The sequence below is a fragment of the Homo sapiens genome, chromosome Y (genome assembly GCF_000001405.40).
Source record: "Homo sapiens chromosome Y, GRCh38.p14 Primary Assembly".
Lineage (NCBI taxonomy): Eukaryota > Metazoa > Chordata > Mammalia > Primates > Hominidae > Homo > Homo sapiens.
The window spans coordinates 5,045,515-5,067,222 of record NC_000024.10 but is presented as its reverse complement, the minus strand read 5'-3'; the positions used below and the strand labels follow the sequence as shown (position 1 = coordinate 5,067,222).

At 33.9% G+C, this 21,708-nt stretch overlaps 1 protein-coding gene across 8 annotated transcripts in view; it reads right to left on the bottom strand.

The window, feature by feature from the left end:
- Positions 1-21,708, bottom strand: part of PCDH11Y (protocadherin 11 Y-linked) — a 741,933-nt gene that overhangs the window by 675,006 nt on the left and 45,219 nt on the right. For 6 of the 8 annotated variants that reach the window (XM_017030079.2, XM_017030081.2, XM_017030080.2 and 3 more), the window contains one exon: positions 9,764-10,334. In XM_017030079.2, the coding sequence (XP_016885568.1) occupies positions 9,764-10,334 (571 nt within the window). Of the gene's footprint in view, positions 1-9,763; positions 11,136-21,708 lie in introns of those variants that run through there. The other 2 variants (NM_032972.3, NM_032973.2) reach the window with 2 other exon arrangements.

Sequence of the window (21,708 nt, the reverse complement as noted above, 5' to 3'; positions counted from 1 at the left end):
GTTTTCTGTGTGAGAGCTCTAGCTATATGAAAATGCTTTCATTTTAGCAGTTAGGTAATTGATCTTAAACATATAGATAAACAGAGTATAATTAACCTCAAACTATAGGGAAAATAGATTATAGAGAAATGTTTAGAATCTTAAAAGCTGCAGATGAATAAATGGGCTATAAATAGCCTATACAGAAGCCAGCCAATGATTTTCCAGTTTAGGGCCATATATCCATTCCCCCATGAGGTCATCTTCACTTTTCCAGGCCCATGAGTACTTCTAGTTAAAAAGGTGCATTCCTATACCATTACTATGGTTTCCAAAGGATTAAACATTGATAGCATGGTCATTGTTACTTCTTCAACTTGGAGATTTCTACATAGGGTTTGGAATCTAGGAAAATGATGCATTTGATGGGGGTAATATAGCTATCTGTGACTGATCCCTTAGGAATAACTTTCCTCACAGCAAAATTAAAAGATTTAAATGCCTCCTGAAACACACAGGATCTGTTAAATACTTACATCCTCCAAGCAAAAGCAGTATGAAACCACTAAACACAAAATCAAATAATCAGCATCAGAATCTTATTATATTGTGTATTCAAACAATGTAAGTAGCCTTCATTTTATATTTACTTATTTATTGAAGGTAGTTTAATGGGAGTTAATTGAATATGCATTAGCTTGTAGCTAAGCATGATCATATTCTTTGGCTTTTTGATATCTATATGCAATCTAAAATTCATGCATATAATCATTCAGTGACTTAAATAAAGCACTCTGTTCAACTAAAAGTAATCTATAAAGTATTAAACTTCTTAATTTATTTATAGTCCATTAAATTGTTTCTCTAGAATTCATGCATCCAGACCGTAGAGGCAGTGTATGATTATCTAGAACACAACTTCGTTCTTCTGTTAACCATTTACTTTGTTATTTGCATTACTGACAGCAATGCTCCCCTTGTTCCACTGTCCTTAGGATGCAGGCTGTTTATTCTGCTATATTTCCCTGGTCAAACTATTTTAAATGAATTCTTCTAAACAACTCTTGTCCTCAGAGGATATCTTGGCTCTCTTATAAGCCAGAAAAACATACTAGCATCCAGGAAAGGCTTGTTATAGCAAATCTTCTGCTTGAAAAAGGATATTTTAAGACCTATTTAATTTAGAATAATTAAAAATAAAAAAGTTCAAGTACGTTATTACACACCTCTTCTACAAAATCTACTGGAAAAAAAAAACAGTCGTGATTGTCTTAGAAAGGGGATAGGAAAATAAGTTCTCAGCTTGAAAAAAGAAAAGAAGAGAGGAAATCTTTTTTAAAAAAATAAGGTCATATGAATGAGATGTAAATAAAGCAATTCCAGATGGTAGAGGCAGTATATGAGAAAGTACTCATATTAGCAGTATCACTGTCATATGGAGGGCCACGAGGAGACAAAGGCAAATGAAGAGGAGACATTTGATTCAAAAGATAAGCCAAAGAGGGTAAGTGGAAGACTTAAAACAAAACAAAACAAAACAAAAACTGAACTAGGTCCAGAAAAAAATGTAGAGCCAGTGGCACTGATCAAGAAATAGATTAATGTTGTCATATTTTTCTCTGTATACATACATAAAACATGTATGGAAAACTAAGTTTAAGTCGTAAAATAGGCTTTTTAAGGAGTATGAAGCATCAAGTCTTAGAAAAATTGTGAAAGACTATAATTAACCTCAACCTACAGAGTAAAACCCATAACTATTGTTTACAGAACAGTTTTCTTCAGGGTACTCAGCAAACTTTATAGATTTTACTTATATCATTAGCTTTTATAATATCCCTGCATGCTACATAAGGATAATTTTAATTTTCTCTATTATATAGGAGAGGAATTGTAGGCACAGATAACAAGTTTGAGAATTAAGATAATAGAAAGACTTAGGTAATTACCACAACTAGCACAAGAATTACCATTGTCATCAAAACGTTTTATTTCCAGTCTCAAAATGATTGTACAGATAAATGTTGGCAAAAAGTATTACTGCCATAATTGCAAACCTAGTAACAAAATAAGATATCATAAGTTAATGAGAGTGCTTGGTAAAAATCTACTAAAAATAGATATAAAATTTTAACTTTTCTGAGACAATAAAACTTTAAATAATTCCATTTTCTTAATGGCAGCATGATCAATTTAAGATAAAATGTTCTTACAACATAATAAATATGGCCAAGTGTGATGGCTCATGCCTGTAACCATGACATTTCGGGAGGCTGAGGCGGGAGGATCACTGGAGGTGAGGAGTTTGAGACCCTGGCCAAAATGGTGAAACCCTGTCTCTACTAAAAATACAATAACAACAACAAAATTAGCCAAGCTTTGTGGCAGACGTCTGTAGTCCCAGCTACTCGGGAGGCTAAGGTAGGAGAATCAATTGAACTCAGGAGGTGGAGGTTGCAGTAAGCCGAGATCGTGCCACTGCACTCTAGCCTGGGCGACAGAGCAAGGCTGTGTCTCACAAAGAAAAAGAAAGAAAAAAGATACACACACACACACACACACACACACACACACACAAGTATGTATGTATATATAAAATAAATACTTTCCTCTTTACTATCATTAGAGCAAAAATATAATCCTGATAATGCCTGTTATTAATCTCCTTGGGGACACTGACTGTTTTCCAAACACATTTTTTATCCCTCAAGACTTTGTACATTGAGCACTCATTAAATATGTGTTAAATTTAGATTACTGGAATTAGACTAAGATATTAGTTAGCAGTCAGTTATTGTTACATCTAGACAAAATTTAATAGAACAGCCTTTCATTCTTTAGAATTTCACTTCATTGTATTGAAGAAGCTTAAAATAATGAAATTCTATATATAAAATAAGTAAAAGGATGAGAAATATTCATGATAATACTCTACATAAAATAAAATTCCAGATTAAGTGAGATCGCAAAGACAAATGTAAATTAGGTTAGAAAATCCAAAACTTCATTTTATGATTTTCAACTTTTAAAATCCTTTGTTTTGCTTAATGAAACAAAATTCACACTTACTTTGCAAAATATGTCTTTTAAAATATGTTTCCTATATATGACGTTATACTACTTTCCTCAGTTTACCAGCAAGTATAGAGATATGTGCATGCAGCAATTAAAACATGCTACCACTAAATACTCTTCCAATGTATAAATAATAAGCAATAGGTTTCTTATGATTGTTCACCTAGAAGTACCTCTTCTATTTCAAAGGAAATACAAAATAGATAACTAGCGATATTTTTATAGTTTTAATTGCTAAAACGTGTGTGTCCACATGTATTCTATTTTGATGCCCTTAGTGCTCTAGTAATAGATATTTAACATTTTATGGATAAAACACTTTATTACCTATTTGTAGAATAGATTGGTGAAGATATAATTTGTGCAAGCAAAAGACCAATGAAAAAAGGACATTTCAAAAATAATTAAGAAAATTAAGTTCTGCGTTATTTAATTAACTTAGACTCAATATTTTCCTTCCTCCAGTGACATCTACCTGCACTGGGAAATTGAAAGACACTTGAATAACAATCGGCTAAAATTTAATTTGTGGTCAAAGCAATTTATTTGGTCTATTAGGCTACTAGATTATTTATTCATTCTTGATTAGTTTTGTGAAGATGACTGTACACTGATAAATACAAAAGGGAGAATATTAATTTCTTCAGTATTTGATTTTTAAGTGAGAATTAGTTTTCATCTGCACTTTATAGTTTTTGCTAAAGACCAATTCCATCAAAAACTGGTCCAAACTCATACCCTGGTAAAATCATGAAGATAGATACATTATTTTATAGATAAAACTCAAACAAACTCAGAAAGTTTTCTGCAGAATGACCTTATTGCTTTTATCATCACTTCTCATACAAGGTGTCATCACCTCTGATACAGAAATCTTACCAATCCATCAATTTATTTTATCTAAGATTGAAAGATCACACTTCAGTTCACTAAGAGAGTGTCTCCACAGCAGTGTTGTTATATAATCAATATAAATCAGTGTAGACAAAAAGAATAATTTATGCCAAGAAAACTACCCACATTGGGATATTTATAATCTTAGATTATTAGCATTGATCAAAGTTGTTAAAGACAATTAGATCTGTGTAATACAACCTCATGTTTTCATTAAATAATTCTATACCAATTAATTTTGTCTTATAAAAATATGTTTTTATTTTAGGATTTAAGTCATTTCCTTTGGCAAGAATAATATTAAGTTCAAATTTATTTTTACTTAGATACAGTGGACAATGAAATAACAGATCAATAAATCTGTATCTAATAACATAAAATTTAGTGGTGCTTCTTATAGTTAGTTGGTAATATTAAGTTAAGAGGCATGATGTGAGTAGATCATTCAGATTTGGGAACACATTTGTTCTTCAGAGCCTCAATTTATAAACTCCAGAATTGAACTATTTACGATGTCCAACTTATGTTCCATAAGTGTCCATCCATACTGTGGGATTTTTAATAACAGATATATTTAACAAAAGGCATTAGTGGACGATGAACACTAACCAAGACTCTGATAATAGTAATGAAGTCAAAAGTTACTTAATCCTATTAGTGTCACACTCTCATTTGTTAAGACCTGACAGCATTAATAAAGATTCATTTATGAAGACAGTGAGTTTTATGTTGTCATTTTTTCCCCAGTGGAAGTGTACTTTGATAATAACCCCAGCTTTCAGAAACCTCATAGTCGTTAGCATTTGATTGTCATCTCTTTTGCTTTTTAACATTAGATCAAAAATATTAATATGCAAATTATAGAATTCAGAGACTATAAAATCAAGTAAACTTAAAGCTGAAATGGAGAAATTTTAAGTGAAACTTCATTTTATATTTGAAAAAATGAGGAAATCATTATATTCAAACTCTTCTGAGCCTCTTGGAGGCAAATAAACTAAGTAAGTTTTCTAAAATTGTTATACTCATTGTTATAGTATATTCTCTCTGCACTGACATCAATGAATCTTTACTCACTTCTAATGTTACACATCACTTTGAGTTATGGTTACATAATGTTAAAAAATATTAATTTCTTCAGAACAACAAAGTTTGCTTGCTCTTTGTCTTCACAATGTATTATTTGATGTCTCATTCTTGGCAATTTTAAATCAAGATTTCTAAATCTTGTGGTAGGTGAGATTTTTCACAATTTAGATTTTCTAACCCCAGATCGCAAAACAAATCTAATTCTAACCTTAGTTTCATAAATCCAGTCCAGCTTTTGATCAATGGGGAAGATGTTTACTTAAAATAAAAACAAGGGCCCAAACATCTTGACTATGTTAAAAGACTACCCCAGTTTAAATGATCTTTTGAGATTCATGGAACAGATGAGGATGCCTTATGGGATGGGTAGAAACAAGGGAAGGCCTTGAGTAGGATCACTAATCTGAGAAAAAGTTGATCTTCATGTTCTGTCAACAAAAATTGTCAACCTTTGAAACACTGTCATGCCTGCCTTAAGGAAATCAATCAGCACACTGTCACTGGGCTAGTACAGAAATGTGACTGTTGATATATGCCACGGAAGATGGAAATTTGAAGCAGAAAATAAAAATAACCGTAACATCATTATATAAACTAATTTCCCCTGAGTTCCTACCATGAGAAAAGAAGGAAGTCCCTGTGGTTTATATACATATTCTGAGTCAGACTGGGTGCTTGAGGGATGTTTCTATTTGTGAAAATGTTGGCTTCCCTGTCAAAAAATACTTACAATATTTTAAAAAGCTTTATAAATAACAGGCCATCTGAATTAAAAAGTGAAAGTTAAAGAGATCTGTGATTTCCTACTCCTGAACAACAGTTCTTCCAAATACTGCAATGTGTAGTACGATGTGTGTGAGTATGTAAATAGCTATAATGTATATAGGGAATTAGCATTGCAGTATGATTTTACTTGAAAGAGAGAAAAGAGAAGCTTTCAAATCTGGATTCTTTTTTAAGTGGCAACTATTAATAACATCAAGAACTCTTATAGATGATTTTTTTTCTTTAAAGAGTAACATGATCCATTAAAAAGTTGAAAATTAATCGCATCAAAGTCACATAAATAAGTTTTATTTTTACTTATATTTTAAACAAGCAGAATTACTTGGTAATCACTTCATTCCCCCACTTTTTCCCTTTTTAATTTTTTTAAATTTTATTTATTTATTTTTTTTGGAGACAGAGTCTTTCACTGTTACCCGGGCTGGATTGCAATGGCGCAATCTCGGCTCACTGCAACCTCTGTCTCCCGAATTCAAGTGATTCTCCTGCCTCAGCCTCCCGCCACCATGCTTGGCTAATTTTTTTTTTTTTGTATTTTTTTAGTAGAGACGGGGTTTCACTGTGTTGGCCAGGCTGGTCTCAAACTCCTAACCTCAAGTAATCCACCCGCCTCAGCCTCCCAAAGTGCTGGGATTACAGGTGTGAGCTACTGCGCCCAGTCTTTTTTCTTTCTTTCACTCTTTTCGTTTTGTATCATGAACTTGCAGTGATCCTGCTCTGAAGGTTATCTATCCATCTACAATCTGTCTGTTGATTAGGAGTCAGGAACTGCACTCTGGTTCCTACCTCTATCATTTACCAGTCATATGATGATAAGCATAATACATTATCACTCTGAAACTCATTTTCCAAATATTTAAAATGTGAAATAATACTTTCCCTGTTTGTGCCAAGGTATACTGAAAGTCATCAAAAGGTAAGCTAAATTAATATATGTATATATTAGTTTTAGAAATAAATATTCTAAGTTTTAAGTCTTATGAAATTTTATACTACATACATTTTAAACATTTAATATTTTCCACCAATGCCTTTAATTTCAGTTAATTAATATCAAATAGTAAATAGGACACCTTCATGTATAAATTGACCTATTTAAATATTTAAATTGAGCTTTTTTCCTAGAATTTTTCTCTATATTTCTCCCTTCTCTCCCTTTGCTATTTGAACTATTCATATACATTTTATATTAGCCTAGTTAGGATAAACGGTGATTTTTCTATTCTTGTCTATTCAACAAAAGTAGAGCCAATTAATATTAATTAAATTCTCATCCTATTCTGCAGGACAAAGGGATTTTTAAAAGAAATTATTATGGTTGGCCTACTTATTTCACATTGTAAAATTTACTAAAGTTTATGGATGAATCAACACATGCTTCTTTTCTCTGTTTTTCTTTAAGTCTCCTTTCCCATAGCATATATGCCACTTTCATGACAGGGACTTTTTGCGAGTCAAAGTGCATTCAGTTAAAGTCGCCCATGTCATGGCTGTCTGCATGCCTGGGGCTATGCTTTGTGTTCCATTCTCATTATTTTTAACAAGCAGTCAAAACAGTATTTGTCCACGGGGCCATACAAATGCCTCAGTACTTTAGGCACATCATATAGTTACTTTAGGCTTATCACACATTCTAAAACAGAAAGAAATTTTAGAGCATTTCTAAGACTCATCTAAGAACCTGTAGTGAGACTTTTTGTCATTTGCTGACAATCTTTCAAAGAATGTCAAATGAAAGCACATTTTAACAAAGCTAAAATTATGCCAGCAGGCTTATTTGTTTTATCTGAATTAGTTAAGCAGCTTTCAAGACAAATCAGAAATTTCTTGGAAGTTCATTAAGCTGCCCTAAGGGAGACATGACAAAATTATTCTTTGAATAAAGCACTACGTTTTAAAACAACACATTTGTCAAGATGGTCAGTTGAAGAGACCCTATTGCTAATATCTGATTTAAACTTGGTAAGGTCTCATTTTGATTTTATCTATTAATTTTTATTGTCCAAATAAACGTTTTTTATTTGTTTAGGCTGTGCTGTGCAGTATGATAGCCACTAACCACGTGGCTATTAAAATTAAAATGGAATTAATTAAGAATTTAGTTCCTTAGTAGCACTAGCTACTAAGTACTTTCAAGGACTCTACAGCAACGTGTGACTGGTGGCTACTGCATTGTTCTCACACAGATTACCGTCCTTGCAGAAAATTCTGTTGTGAAGTGTTGCTTTAGAGAGAGACTGTCCACTCTGTTACTCAATTTATTATGTCAAGTGATAAGCCTCACATTTCTATAAGTACTTAAATGTTTTAAAGCATGTTCAAAAATCTTCTATGCAGGTATGTCTACTCCATACTAAGTGCTTATTCTTCCCAATTCTGCCCCTGTGATATTATCATCCTCATATTATGACTGAAGAAATTAAAGGTCAAAAAGATTAAGCTGAAAGTAGCATGTCTGGTAAGAGGTAAGCATAAAACTGTGATCCATATCTATCTGACTCCTGAATATTTTTCCATTTCATCAGATAAGGAGATGTCATTGCAGGAACTTCACCCCAAAGTGCTCACTTAAAAATCATCTAAATGTTAGTTTTTTTGAGGAACCTCAAAACTGTTCTCCTTAGTGGTTGTACTAATTTACATTCCCACCAACAGTATTCAAGAGTTCCCTGTTTTCCAAATCCTTCTCTTTCTGTTTTCACTTCATATACTCAAACATATCTGCATTTCACCGAAATTTGCTCAAGAGGTTTGTAGCCTTCCATTCCTGAATGAATTTATAAATAAATATATCTTTACAATAGATCAGCATTAGTTGAGAAATTTTCCCATATTATATATCCTCCAGGTCAAAACCTTCAGATGATATATATCAGAATGTCTTATTTATATGTTTTGGGGCATATTTTTAACACTAGTTATTATATAGATCATAGTTTGGCAGAATATTTATAAAAGTGTGAAAATCCCCTGAACATATCTATCTGAAACATGCACATTAGTTATTTCATTAACATATATTTTCCAAGATCATTCAAGTGCATTGTACTATTTCACATACCCAAATCTGAGTTATCTATTTCTCTTTATAACATATAAGTAATTTAAAAGAATTGATCATTAACTTGATAAATGTGCCCCCTCTGCACATATTTTGAAGAATACCAAATATTCTATCTATTCTTCTCTCTAACTTCTCCATCCTAAGACCCAAATCAAGCCAGAATAGGTTATTCAAATTAACTGATTGACTCTTTTTTGTTAAAAGGCTTACTTACCCTTTACAACAAATGAACACTCTGTTTTCAAATAATTGTAAAAAAAGAAAATATTTAACATTAACAGAACATTGACTAAAATTTAATCTCAATTTGATGATTCAGGATATGCTAAAGACCTTGCCTTACCTTGAAATCCTCATGAAAAATATTTATCTATATATGTTCAGAAATGCTAGTAATAAATTAAATTGTTCTAGTCACCTCTCAAATAGATTTATTTGGCACCATATCAAATGGCAAGATAAAATTTGTGTATCTAAAGTAATCACTAGGAAAAATTGATAATCAGATTTATGGATTCATTCTTAATGATTTGCTTATATCAAGTTTTTGGCAGAAGCATGACTGGACAGATTAAAAGAATGAAGCTGGGCAAACTACTGATTTGTAAGTAGCAGGGCTAACCTCCTTGTCTGATCCCTTTATAGATTAATGGAAACACAACTGTTTGAAAATGAATATACATACCATGAAAATTCATAATCCACATGTAATTGCAAAAACTGCATTGATGAATTTTCTCCACTATGCTTTAAATTACATAAATTTTGAAAAATTGGGGTGATGGCTTACTCAAAATTTGAAATACATTAATATCATTTTATTTTACTCTTTAAAAAATGAGATGATATCTTTAACAAAGTGATTTTAAAACGCACCTTAATTAGTTCGTAGTTTTGAACTCCGTTTATGCCTACGTCAGGATCAACAGCCGCTGGGAGAGTATATTTAGAGTTTATAGCCGAGTTCTCTGGAATTGATATGTTGATAACTGTTGCTGGGAACAATGGTGCATTATCATTTATATCTTCTATCAGAAAACGTATCTTAACCAGTCTAAATATTTCATCCGGCAAAATGGCAACCTCCACTTCATAAAAGCAATGCTCATCCCTTGGGATACCAGCACATAATTTCTCACGATCAATGCGAGCGCCGGTAGTGAAGATCTCACCAGTATCCTCTTCAATTCGAATCAGTGGCACATCTCCGGTCTTGTACACTAGCTTGAACTGCATAGTAGTTGTCAAGGACTTGTTTGGAATCAGCGACAAGTTAAGGTCTTTCAACAAGTTGCCTATCAGGACGTTTTCTGGAATTTCTTCTCGGATGGTGTAGTTTTTCTCCTGGGCGCCAGAGTGGAACACCACGCATACTAGCAGGACCGCGAAAATGTACGTCCCGGACAACAAACACTTGTGACAGTTTGTTGTATTAACCCGCACAACACTGACCAAAAGAAGAGGAGAGAGAGAAGAGGAAGAAGAAATTATTAAGAAGCCAACCCTAAACATGCATGTTAACAAAAACTGTTTTAAATTAAAATCAGTAAATGAGATGTTAGCATAATTGACACTCTGTTAATTAGTGATAAATCTGTTCTGAATCAAATATTATGAATTCGTACATTAAGAATAAAGATAAATGAAATAAGATACCTACAGTATCAAAAATGACACAGAGTACCTATAAAAGTGTCCACCATTGATAAATATATAAAAGATAATACTTTAATATACCAAGATAGTTAAAGAGAATACAAATAATTAAAATATTTAATTCAATAGTTAAGGGAAAATAAAGGGTATTTGTTACAAATCACAAAATATAATCATTATTCTTTGTTATAACATGGGTTTAAAATGCAATTATTCTCTTGGCAATGAATAATTTATACAATAGTCCATTTCTTCAGCTCTGGGCATCAAAGTGAAAAAAAATTGATCTGGATAAAAGGAGGCAAGGAATCATTATAAAGGAGGGACTAATAAAGTTTGATTTGAAGAAGAGAAGTTTGGGAGAGGAGAGGGGTTGATGTGACTAACGCCTAAACATGGTAACAACTATCATGTGAAAAGGGGATTAGAGGATTTTTCTTTGGATAAGAAAAACAAGAATAGCTATTAATATAAAGTACAAGTAAGCAACTTTCAGATTGACATAACTGCTTATTAAAGGATTCTGAAAAAAAAAAGGTTTCAGGATATTTCAGGAGTGTATTCCATATCTTTGGAGGTACTGGACCACCAGATTAGATCTACTATATTTGCTTTAGATACACGGATTTGGTAGATGACGTCCAAACATTCAATGGGAGAGTTAGACTAGAAGACATCCCAACCCTGAGAATTTATGTTTATAGAACGCAGAAGGTAGTTCATATAAAAATGGGTTTTCACATCTATAGACTAACAGGAATTATACAACTTCAAGGAACAGCTTGAGAAGGGCTTGAAAATAAGAAAGGCATTTAAAAACAGTACCGAGTTGAAAGTGAGTCAAAAATCAATCTCTCTTGCTACTTCTCCCTATTATTTTTCACTCACTGAAAGCTTTAAAATTATTTCAGTTCTTGAACTCTTCTGACAAAATTCAATGAGGGATTTTGATTTTCTTAAAATCTGCAAATTTTACCTTCAGTTTCCTTTCATAATTCTCAATTCTTATTCTCTATTTTATTTATTCTCAAGTTTATATATTAAATATCTTTTAATCTCTAGTATAATTAAACATTCTAATGTGCTTCTTCTGGATAGTACTTGTAGATGATATATTATATAAACAAAATTAAATTTGTATCACACTGAGCTAAAGCCTATCAGATGTCATACTTTTATAATTAAATGAAGGTTAATGCAACTATTAAGGTATTTAGCAGTTTTGAAAACTCAGTGTTCAGGTGGTTATTTAAAATTCCATTCCAGAAATGTATTAATGCATATAGGTAACCAATTAAGGAATTTCTCAATATTTATTGGTAATCGATAACATCAACAAGTTTTAGTAATTGTTCTAAAAACAGGAGGACTACATATGATATAAATAACTTGTTATGGATATTGTGCTCTGGTTATGCCAAGCAATGTGTTATATGAAATAACTGTCCCATTGCATAGCTGCACATCTGCATTTTTTAAAATATGCATATGCCAATGTTGGAATACACAAAATTGGAAAAAAAGAAATCTTTCTATTTACAATCAATAATCAAATAAATGCATCTGTTGCAACAATCAAGATAGTTTAGGTCAGCAGTAGACTTAAAATATCTCATTAATTTTTATCACAACATTTTAAAAATATATATTATGAATTCAATGACTTTCCTATGTTAAGCAGTTGGTATCATATATAAAATATGTTAGTTATGATAGTGAGTAATGCTAGAGGTGAAGACATTATTTATCCTAGTAAACAACATAAAAACACTGTTGCCTGTGGTATAGTATTTTTAGCATCATTTGTACAATGATGTGCATTGGGATTACATAATATAAAAACTCGCTCAAAATTCAGTCTTGTGAATTTTTGGTTTTATACTCTGTTATGAAGGTGAGATTAAAAATACCCCATTGATACTACCAGCTAATATGCACACATATATGTGTTCTATATGCTGTGAATCTAGCATATCTAAGACGTTTTGGATGCTTATGTGATTTTATAAATGTCATGCAAACATAAGCAGAAATAAAAATGGGGCAGTGACAATTGGAATTAAAATTATCGCTCTATTCTTATCTTACCCTTAGGTATTACACATTATTACAACTGGCAGAAGAATACTACAGACTGTTTTTAAAAACATTGCAGGATATTCTGACTTATAAGTGGGAGCTAAATGATGAGAACTCATGGACATATACAGGGGAACAACACACACTGGGGCCTATTGGAGGTTGGAAGATGGGAGGAGGGAGAGGATCAGGAAAAATTAATGGGTACTAGGCTTAATACCTGGGTGACGAAATAATCTGTACAACAAACCCCCATGACACAGGTTTACTTACATAAACCTACACTTGTACCCCTGAACTCAGAATAAAAGTTAAATTAAAAAAAAAAAAAAGATAAAACCACCTTGAATTCCTGGGATAACCGCCCAAAATGAAAAACAAAATAAAGCAAAATAAAGAAATAAAAGCATTGCATGCATGTCGCAATATCTCTACACAACATAAATAATTAATAGAGTGATCTAGTTCCAAGAAGTCACCCTCCCTCAATCCATTCTAAATCTGTTCTACTCTATCTTTATTTTTAATTTTTTTAATTATACTTTAAGTTCTAGGGTACATGTGCACAACATGCAGGTTTGTTACATATGTATACATGTGCCATGTTGGTGTGCTGCACCCATTAACTCGTCATTTAACATTAGGTATATCTCCTAATGCTACCCTTCCCCCCTCCTCCCACCCCACAACAGGCCCCGATGTGTGATGTTCCCCACCCTGTGTCCAAGTGTTCTCATTGTTCAATTCCCACCTATGAGTGAGAACATGTGGTGTTTGGTTTTCTGTCCTTGCAATAGTTTGCTGAGAATGATGGTTTCCAGCTTCATCCTTGTCCTTAAAAAGGACATGAACTCATCCTTTTTTATGGCTGCATAGTATTCCACAGTGTATATGTGCCACATTTTCTTAATCCAGTCTATCATTGATGGACATTTGGGTTGGTTCCAAGTCTTTGCTATTGTGAATAGTGCCACAATAAACATACATGTGCGTGTGTCTTTATAGCAGCATGATTTATAATCCTTTGGGTATATACCCAGTAATGGGATGGCTGGGTCAAATGGTATTTCTAGTTCTAGATCCTTGAGGAATTGCCACACTGTCTTCCACAATACCATCATCATATAAAACATTTTAAAATGTGTTTCATAACCGGAAATTCATTCAGTGGTTTTAAAAACAGGGAAGAAATATTGAGAAAAAATACCATTTCTAAAGCTTAAGTGAATATATATGTTGCCAACCTAGAAGGAATATTCACCCTCTAGTTAATAAAGAGTTTGAGATGAAATGAACTCATGGAGGTTTAGCCACTTATTCAACAAATACTTATTAAGCAATTTTTATATGTCAAGCACAGTTCTAGACACTGAAGGTACATCAGTGAACAAAACAGAGTTTATATTTGATAATATATTCTAGTATGTCTTTAATTCAGTGTTCAATTACTGTATAATGAACTCATCTCTGCTTCTACCAGGATGTGAACATGCATGTTTAAGTAACCTCAATCTCCAGATTTTGATTTCAACTCTCACATTTGCCACTTGAAAATTTATTATCTTTAAAATTTATTAAGTTTTCTTTGAAAATGCTGAGTTTAATTCTTTGAATGAACAGTACAGAAATTTAGCTACTAAATATGGATATAAATAATCACTGCTTAGTCTTATGGAAGCATGGCACATTTAACTCAGATATCCAGGGAAAATATGCCTACATACGTATCTTAATGTATGTAAATTACATTCTAATTTTTCTGTCTCATGAAAAATGTGACAAGGTAACCTTAAATTTCTTTGCCCTTCTCCTACAACCCACTCCTACTATAGATTAATGTTAGTTTGGAAATTGATAAAGGAAACAACACAAAAGAAGATATAAAGAACTAAAATTTTTGACAAGTTCCAGTAGTGCCCATGCTATTTAAGTGATGCCCTTTATCAGCAAGACATCACGGTTGGGTAAGCAATAGTTGTATTTAGAGGGACACAATAATGACAATTAGAGAAAGCAAAAGCAGAAATAAAATAAGCATCTCTGAAAATTTAAAGATATATAAAGCAAAAATGGAAGTTCATTTTATCATCTCTGAGTAGGTAAGGGAGCTAGGCATCTACTATACGCAATTCTAGAAATTTCAAACCACACAATTAATGTTCAAATGCTTTGTCAGAAGAATTTCAAGGCATAATTTCCTTGATATTTTTTAAATTTTTTCTGCATTATAGTGCTGGTTTCATTTGTAATATATTTAAATGAATTCTATGTGAATTACTGGATCATATGCTACAACAACAAACACATGAGTGAATGGTTTATATGCTACAATTTTTGTACAATTTCTACAATAGTACAAATTTAAGTATTACATGAAGATAAGAAATATCTATCTGCTGCCCATTATCCTAACTCCACTTAAATCTCATCATTCCAATTATTTCAATGTTTCATTAAGTCAAAAATACACCATTTAACAGCCATAATATGTTAGGTGGTCACTACTGTTGTGTTCTTGGTCTCAAATACAAGCAAAGCTTCTTTCACAGCCTGGGTAAACAATAAGGTAGTTCTTGAGGTTGACAGGAATCTAGAACATTGCAATAAAAGTAACCACACTGGGAGAAAGACAAATTGGAGCAACCGATAAACCTAGTATTTTCAGAGGAACTGACCACAGCAAGCAGAGGCGGGCAAGGGCATTGGCTGTCCAATTTTATGTAATTATTTCCTGTGTATTCTGAAACTTGAGATGTCAAAATAAAAAATTTAATAAGGCACAGTAATTATATAACTGGTTTGTTAAATTTTATTCCACAAACAGCTTGCTTACTGTACTTATTGTACATGTCTAATTTTTCACATTTGGGTCTAAACTTCTCTGAGAAGTGGATTCCATCAATGCTGCTTCCTTCTCCAAATTATTTATTGTTTGCTGATTCATTCTATCATTCCAACAACAGTTAGTGTGGTGTTCTCTAACAGGGTTTCAAAATCTGATAATAATCAAGCTCAAATAGCACTTAATAAGACAAATTCTAAAGGTTTCTCTTCTATATTAATTTTTCTGGATTTTTGATATATGATTTAGGGAACATTTGAAACATGGCTTTACAGAATAATCAAGCAAGAGACACATTCTTCATGGCAAAAATATAACGTTTGTCTATCATCACACATTCTTCTATTGCCTCAGGGTGAATGTAATATTGCTTGTTTCAGTATCTAATAATTATTTTACTGTACTTTGTCAACAAGTACCAGATTATCATAATAAATAAGTCCTAAATTCATCAAAAAGGATAATTTCCACTTGGTGTAGTATTTGAATTGCTCTATGTGATTTTAAATCAGTTATTTCATTTAATCTGTATAACAACTATGTGATATATATACATATCTGTAGGCATTGCTTTATATATTAAATATTTTTTATCAAATAGGCATTAATTTCACATTCTGTAAATTTTCTAGATAATCACATTTTAAGAAGGTAACCAAAGGTCCCTCGTGTAAAGGAAAAGTGTTTGCAAAAGAAAAGAGAAAGAAACAGAAAGTGATGGGCTTGGAATCTATTATTCATGGGTGAAATTATGGAGGTGGTATAGCATCACAAAATTAAAGAGATCAAGGGGTATGGAGAGGTGATGTTCAATAATGGAGGGTTCAGGCATGACAATTTTAGTCATTTGTTAACAAATGTGGTTTCTTCATATATATATATAATTGTGTGTGTGTGTGTGTGTAATATATATATTTGTGTCTTCACTGGGTATTTGCTGAAAAGGCTATTTTGAGTTTTATATATAAGGATAAGTAGTACTTCTATTAGTCACTATTCCATGAATTAATAAAACAGTACACAAAACAGTATTATATCTATGAGTTTTATATATAAGGCTAAATAATACTTCTATTAGTCACTATTCCATGAATTAATAAAACAGTACAGGAAAACAGGTAGTAATATATCTATCATATTAGTGTTTAAATTATCTATGTACAAAGACCAATTAATATTTTACTATTGATTGCACACCTCCCCAAACTTCAGTACTAATTGCAATATCTGCACAAAGCATTTTATCAGATTACTCCCCTATATACGTATGGTGCATATTCTAGCATGACTTAATTTATTTTTTGTGTTGGGGTCTAAATTATCAAATTACAATGCAGTAAAATCAACAGTTGAAAGCAAATGAGATATAGCACCAGAATCTTGGAAGTGATGGCTAAAAACAAGATCCAAGTTGATGGTCTGTAAAACAAATCAAGGTAAGATATTAGTTGTCAGAAAATGAATTATATCCATCAACTTATTGTTCCAAGGAACAGAGAAATGACTTTAATAGTTGCATTCATTCACCCCGTGAGACAATGAAGCTCTTCCTATTAAGATGACTTTGGAGTTGCACAATCCATAATCAGTAACTACACATCTTAGAACGCTAAGGAAAAATGACATAGCAACCTTTTAAAACCAATCTTAAGACTTGGTTTATCAACTGCCTAATAACAGATGCCTCAGCCTAAAGGTTCAACAATATTCCTTATCCTTTTAGTTCTCAGTTTTTTACACATATTTTAATATTATTTCTGTGATTTTTGTTTTGTGTCACCTCAAAACCAAAAAAATGGATAACCAATTAAAAATGACAACATTAATTAATAAATGAATAGAAAAACAACTGAACCATAAATGTGACACACACAAGCCATATTTCGAATCTTCAGTTGTGATACACTTAGAGTAGAAAAAATGATAAAGAATTCTGCCTTTTGGCCGAAGCGGGCGGATCACGAGGTCAGGAGATGGAGACCATTCTGGCTAACATGGTGAAACCCCGTCTCTACTAAAAAATACAAAAAATTAGCCAGGCGTGGTGGCGGGCGCCTGTAGTCCCAGCTATGCGGGAGGCTGAGGCAGGAGAATGGCGTGAACCCGGGAGGCGGAGCTTGCAGTGAGCTGAGATCGCTCAACTGCAATCCAGCCTGGGTGACAGAGCGAGACTCCATCTCAGAAAAAAAAAAAAAAAAGAATTCTGCCTTTTAAAATGGAATTTGCATTAATAAGTATAATCAAACACTATTTCATGGATAGAAAGAATAAATATCATTAAAATGGGATACCACCCAAAACAATTTACAGATTGTTATTCATATGAAACTACCAATGACACTCTTCACAGAAGTAGAAAAAAACTATGTTAAAATTCATATGGAACAAAAAAAGACCCCAAATAGTCAAGGCAATCCTAAGCAAAAAGAACGAAACATGAGGCATCACATTACCTGACTTCAAACTATACTACAGGGCTACAGTAACGGTACTGGTGCAGAAACAGACACATAGACGAATAGAACAGAATAGAGAGCCCAGATAAAAGGCCACACACCTATAACCACGTGATCATCCACAAAGCTGAAGAAAACAAGCAGTAGGGAAAAGACTCCTTACACAACAAATCGGGCTGGGACATCTGGGTAGCCATGTGCAGACAATTGAAACTGGACCCCTTTCTTACACCATGTACAAAAGTCAACTCAAAATGAATTAAATATCCATAAAACCCAAAACTATAAAACCTTGGAAGACAACCTAGGGAATTCCATCCTGGACAAAGGAAGTGGCAAAGATTTCATGATGAACATGCCAAAAACAATCACAACAAAAGCAAAATTGACAAATGGGATCTAATTAAATTTAAGAGCTTCTGCAGAGCAAAAGAAACCATCAATAGAGTAAACAGACGGTCTACAGAATGGGAGAAAATATTTGCTAACTATGCATCTGACAAAGGTCTAATATCCAGCATTTATAAGGAACTTAAGTTTACAAGAAAAAAACAACCCCATGAACAAGTAGGCAAAGGACATGAGGAGACACTTTTCAAAAGAAGACAGTAACATGTGGCCAGCAAGCATATGAAAAAAAGCTCAATATCACTGATCATTAGAGAAATGCAAATCAAAATCTCAATGAGATATCATCTCACACTAGTCAGAATGGCTACTATTAACAAGTCAAAAATAACATATGCTGGCGAGGTTGCAGAGAAAAGAGAATACTTTTACAATGTTGGTGGGAGTGTAAATTAGTTCAACTATAGTGGGAAGCAGCATAGTGATTCCTCAAAGAGGTAAAACTAGAACTACCATTTGACCAGTAATCCCATTACTGGGTAACTACCCAGAGGAACATAAATCATTTTACCATAAAGACACATGCACACAAATGTTCACTGCAGCACTATTCACAATAGTAAATACATAGAATCAACCTAAATGTCCATCAATAACAGACTGAATAAAGAAAATGTGGTACATATACATCATGGAATACTATGCAGCAATAAAAACTAAGGAGATCATGTCCTTTGCAAGACCATGGATGGAACTGGAGGCCATTATCCTCAGCAAACTAATGCAGGAACAGAAAACCAAATATTGAATGTTCTCATTTTTAAGTGGGATGTAAATGATGAGAACTGATAGACACAAAAAAAGGAACAACAGACTCTAGGGACTAATTGAGCATGGAGCGTGGGAGGAGGGAGAAGAGCAGAAAAAAAAAATTGCATACTAGTCTTAGTACCTGGGTGATGAAATAATTTGTATAGCAAACTCCTGTGGCATGAGTTTACCTATATAACAAACCCGCACATGCATACCTGAACCTAAAATAAAAGTTAAAGAAATAAAGTAAATATTTTTCCCATTAAAAAATAAGTAAAATGGAATTTGCATTTATAAGTTAAAATAAACCCTACTTCTTGTGTGTTCTTTAGTTTCACTATAAAAGCATGTACTGGGTTCAGCCTGGTTTTCAGGAAGGAATAGCATCTATAAGAGAAAATTCAAATGTATTTACAAGATGTTCATACAAAGATAAGGTATAAATGTTAGTGTTTGTATAATTTTTCCTTTCTCTTTCATCTAGGTAAATACATAAGAAAATGTTTTCTCTATTTAGCAATATTCTTTATACTTACAATGAGTTACTATTTCAACTGTGTCTTAATACATTTTAACTCCAAATATAAATGTAATATTAACCATTTAAACTTCAATTTGGGCATTCAAAATAACCTTGCTACATGTGAGAAAATTTAATTTTAGAGAAGGCCTGTTGGGTCCTGCTTCAAAAGTATTAGTATATTTGAAAGTGCAAAAAGATGAGCGGTAAAAATTAGACGTTTCTCAAGACAACTCCCTACGTAATACACAAAGATTGAGCTCTTCAAAAATAACAATTTAGATATAAAATTTATTCTCTATAAATATCAGTTTTAAATGTAAACAACTGTATAGATCCATAATATTTTATATTATGAATCTCAACTCAAAGCAAATGAATCATTCCAAATATATACCAACAATTTTAAGACATTATATTTAACTTAGCAGTTCATGGGCACTGTACCAAATACACAGTAAGTGCTTAAGAAATGCTTGCTGGAGGGAGGAGCCAAGATGGCCGAATAGGAACAGCTCCGGTCTACAGCTCCCAGCGTGAGCGACGCAGAAGACAGATGATTTCTGCATTTCCATCTGAGGTACTGGGTTCATCTCACTAGGGAGTGCCACACAGTGGGCGCAGGTCAATGGGTGCGCGCACCGTGCGCGAGGCGAAGCAGGGCGAGGCACTGCCTCACTCGGAAAGCGCAAGGGGTCAGGGAGTTCCCTTTCCTAATCAAAGAAAGGGGTGACGGATGGCACCTGGAAAATCGGGTCAATCCCACCTGAATACTGCGCTTTTCCGACGGGCTTAAAAAACGGCGCACCACGAGATTATATCCCACACCTGGCTCGGAGGGTCCTACGCCCACGGAGTCTCGCTGATTGCTAGCACAGCAGTCTGAGATCAAACTGCAAGGCGGCAGCGAGGCTGGGGGAGGGGCGCCCGCCATTGCCCAGGCTTCCTTAGGTAAACAAAGCAGCCCGGAAGCTCCAACTGGGTGGAGCCCACCACAGCTCAAGGAGGCCTGCCTGCCTCTGTAGGCTCCACCTCTGGGGGCAGGGCACAGACAAACAAAAAGAAAGCAGTAACCTCCGCAGACTTCAATGTCCCTGTCTGACAGCTTTGAAGAGAGCAGTGGTTCTCCCAGTATGCAGCTGGAGATCTGAGAACACGCAGACTGCCTCCTCAAGTGGGTCCCTGACCCCTGACCCCCGAGCAGCCTAACTGGGAGGCACCCCCCAGCAGGGGCACACTGACACCTCACACTGCAGGGTACTCCAACAGATCTGCAGCTGAGGGTCCTGTCTGTTAGGAGGAAAACTAACAAACAGAAAGGACATCCACACCAAAAACCCATCTGTACATCACCATCATCAAAGACCAAAAGTAGATAAAACCACAAAGATGGGGAAAAAACAGAACAGAAAAACTGGAAATTCTAAAAAGCAGAGCACCTCTCCTCCTCCAAAAGAACACAGCTCTTCACCAGCAACGGAACAAAGCTGGACAGAGAATGACTTTGACGAGCTGAGAGAAGAAGGCTTCAGACGATCAAATTACTCTGAGCTACGGGAGGACATTCAAACCAAAGGCAAAGAAGTTGAAAACTTTGAAAAAAATTCAGAAGAATGTATAACTAGAATAACCAATACAGAGAAGTGCTTAAAGGAGCTGACGGAGCTGAAAACCAAGGCTCGAGAACTACGTGAAGAACGCAGAAGCCTCAGGAGCTGATGCGATCAACTGGAAGAAAGGGTATCAGCGATGGAAGATGAAATGAATGAAATGAAGTGAGAAGGGAAGTTTAGAGAAAAAAGAATAAAAAGAAACGAGCAAAGCCTCCAAGAAATATGGGACTATGTGAAAAGACCAAATCTACGTCTGATTGATGTACCTGAAAGTGATGGGGAGAATGGAACCAAGTTGGAAAACACTCTGCAGGATATTATCCAGGAGAACTTCCCCAATATAGCAAGGTAGGCCAACATTCAAATTCAGGAAATACAGAGAACGCCACAAAGATACCCCTCGAGAAGAGCAACTCCAAGACACAGAATTGTCAGATTCATCAAAGTTGAAATGAAGGAAAAAATGTTAAGGGCAGCCAGAGAGAAAGGTCGGG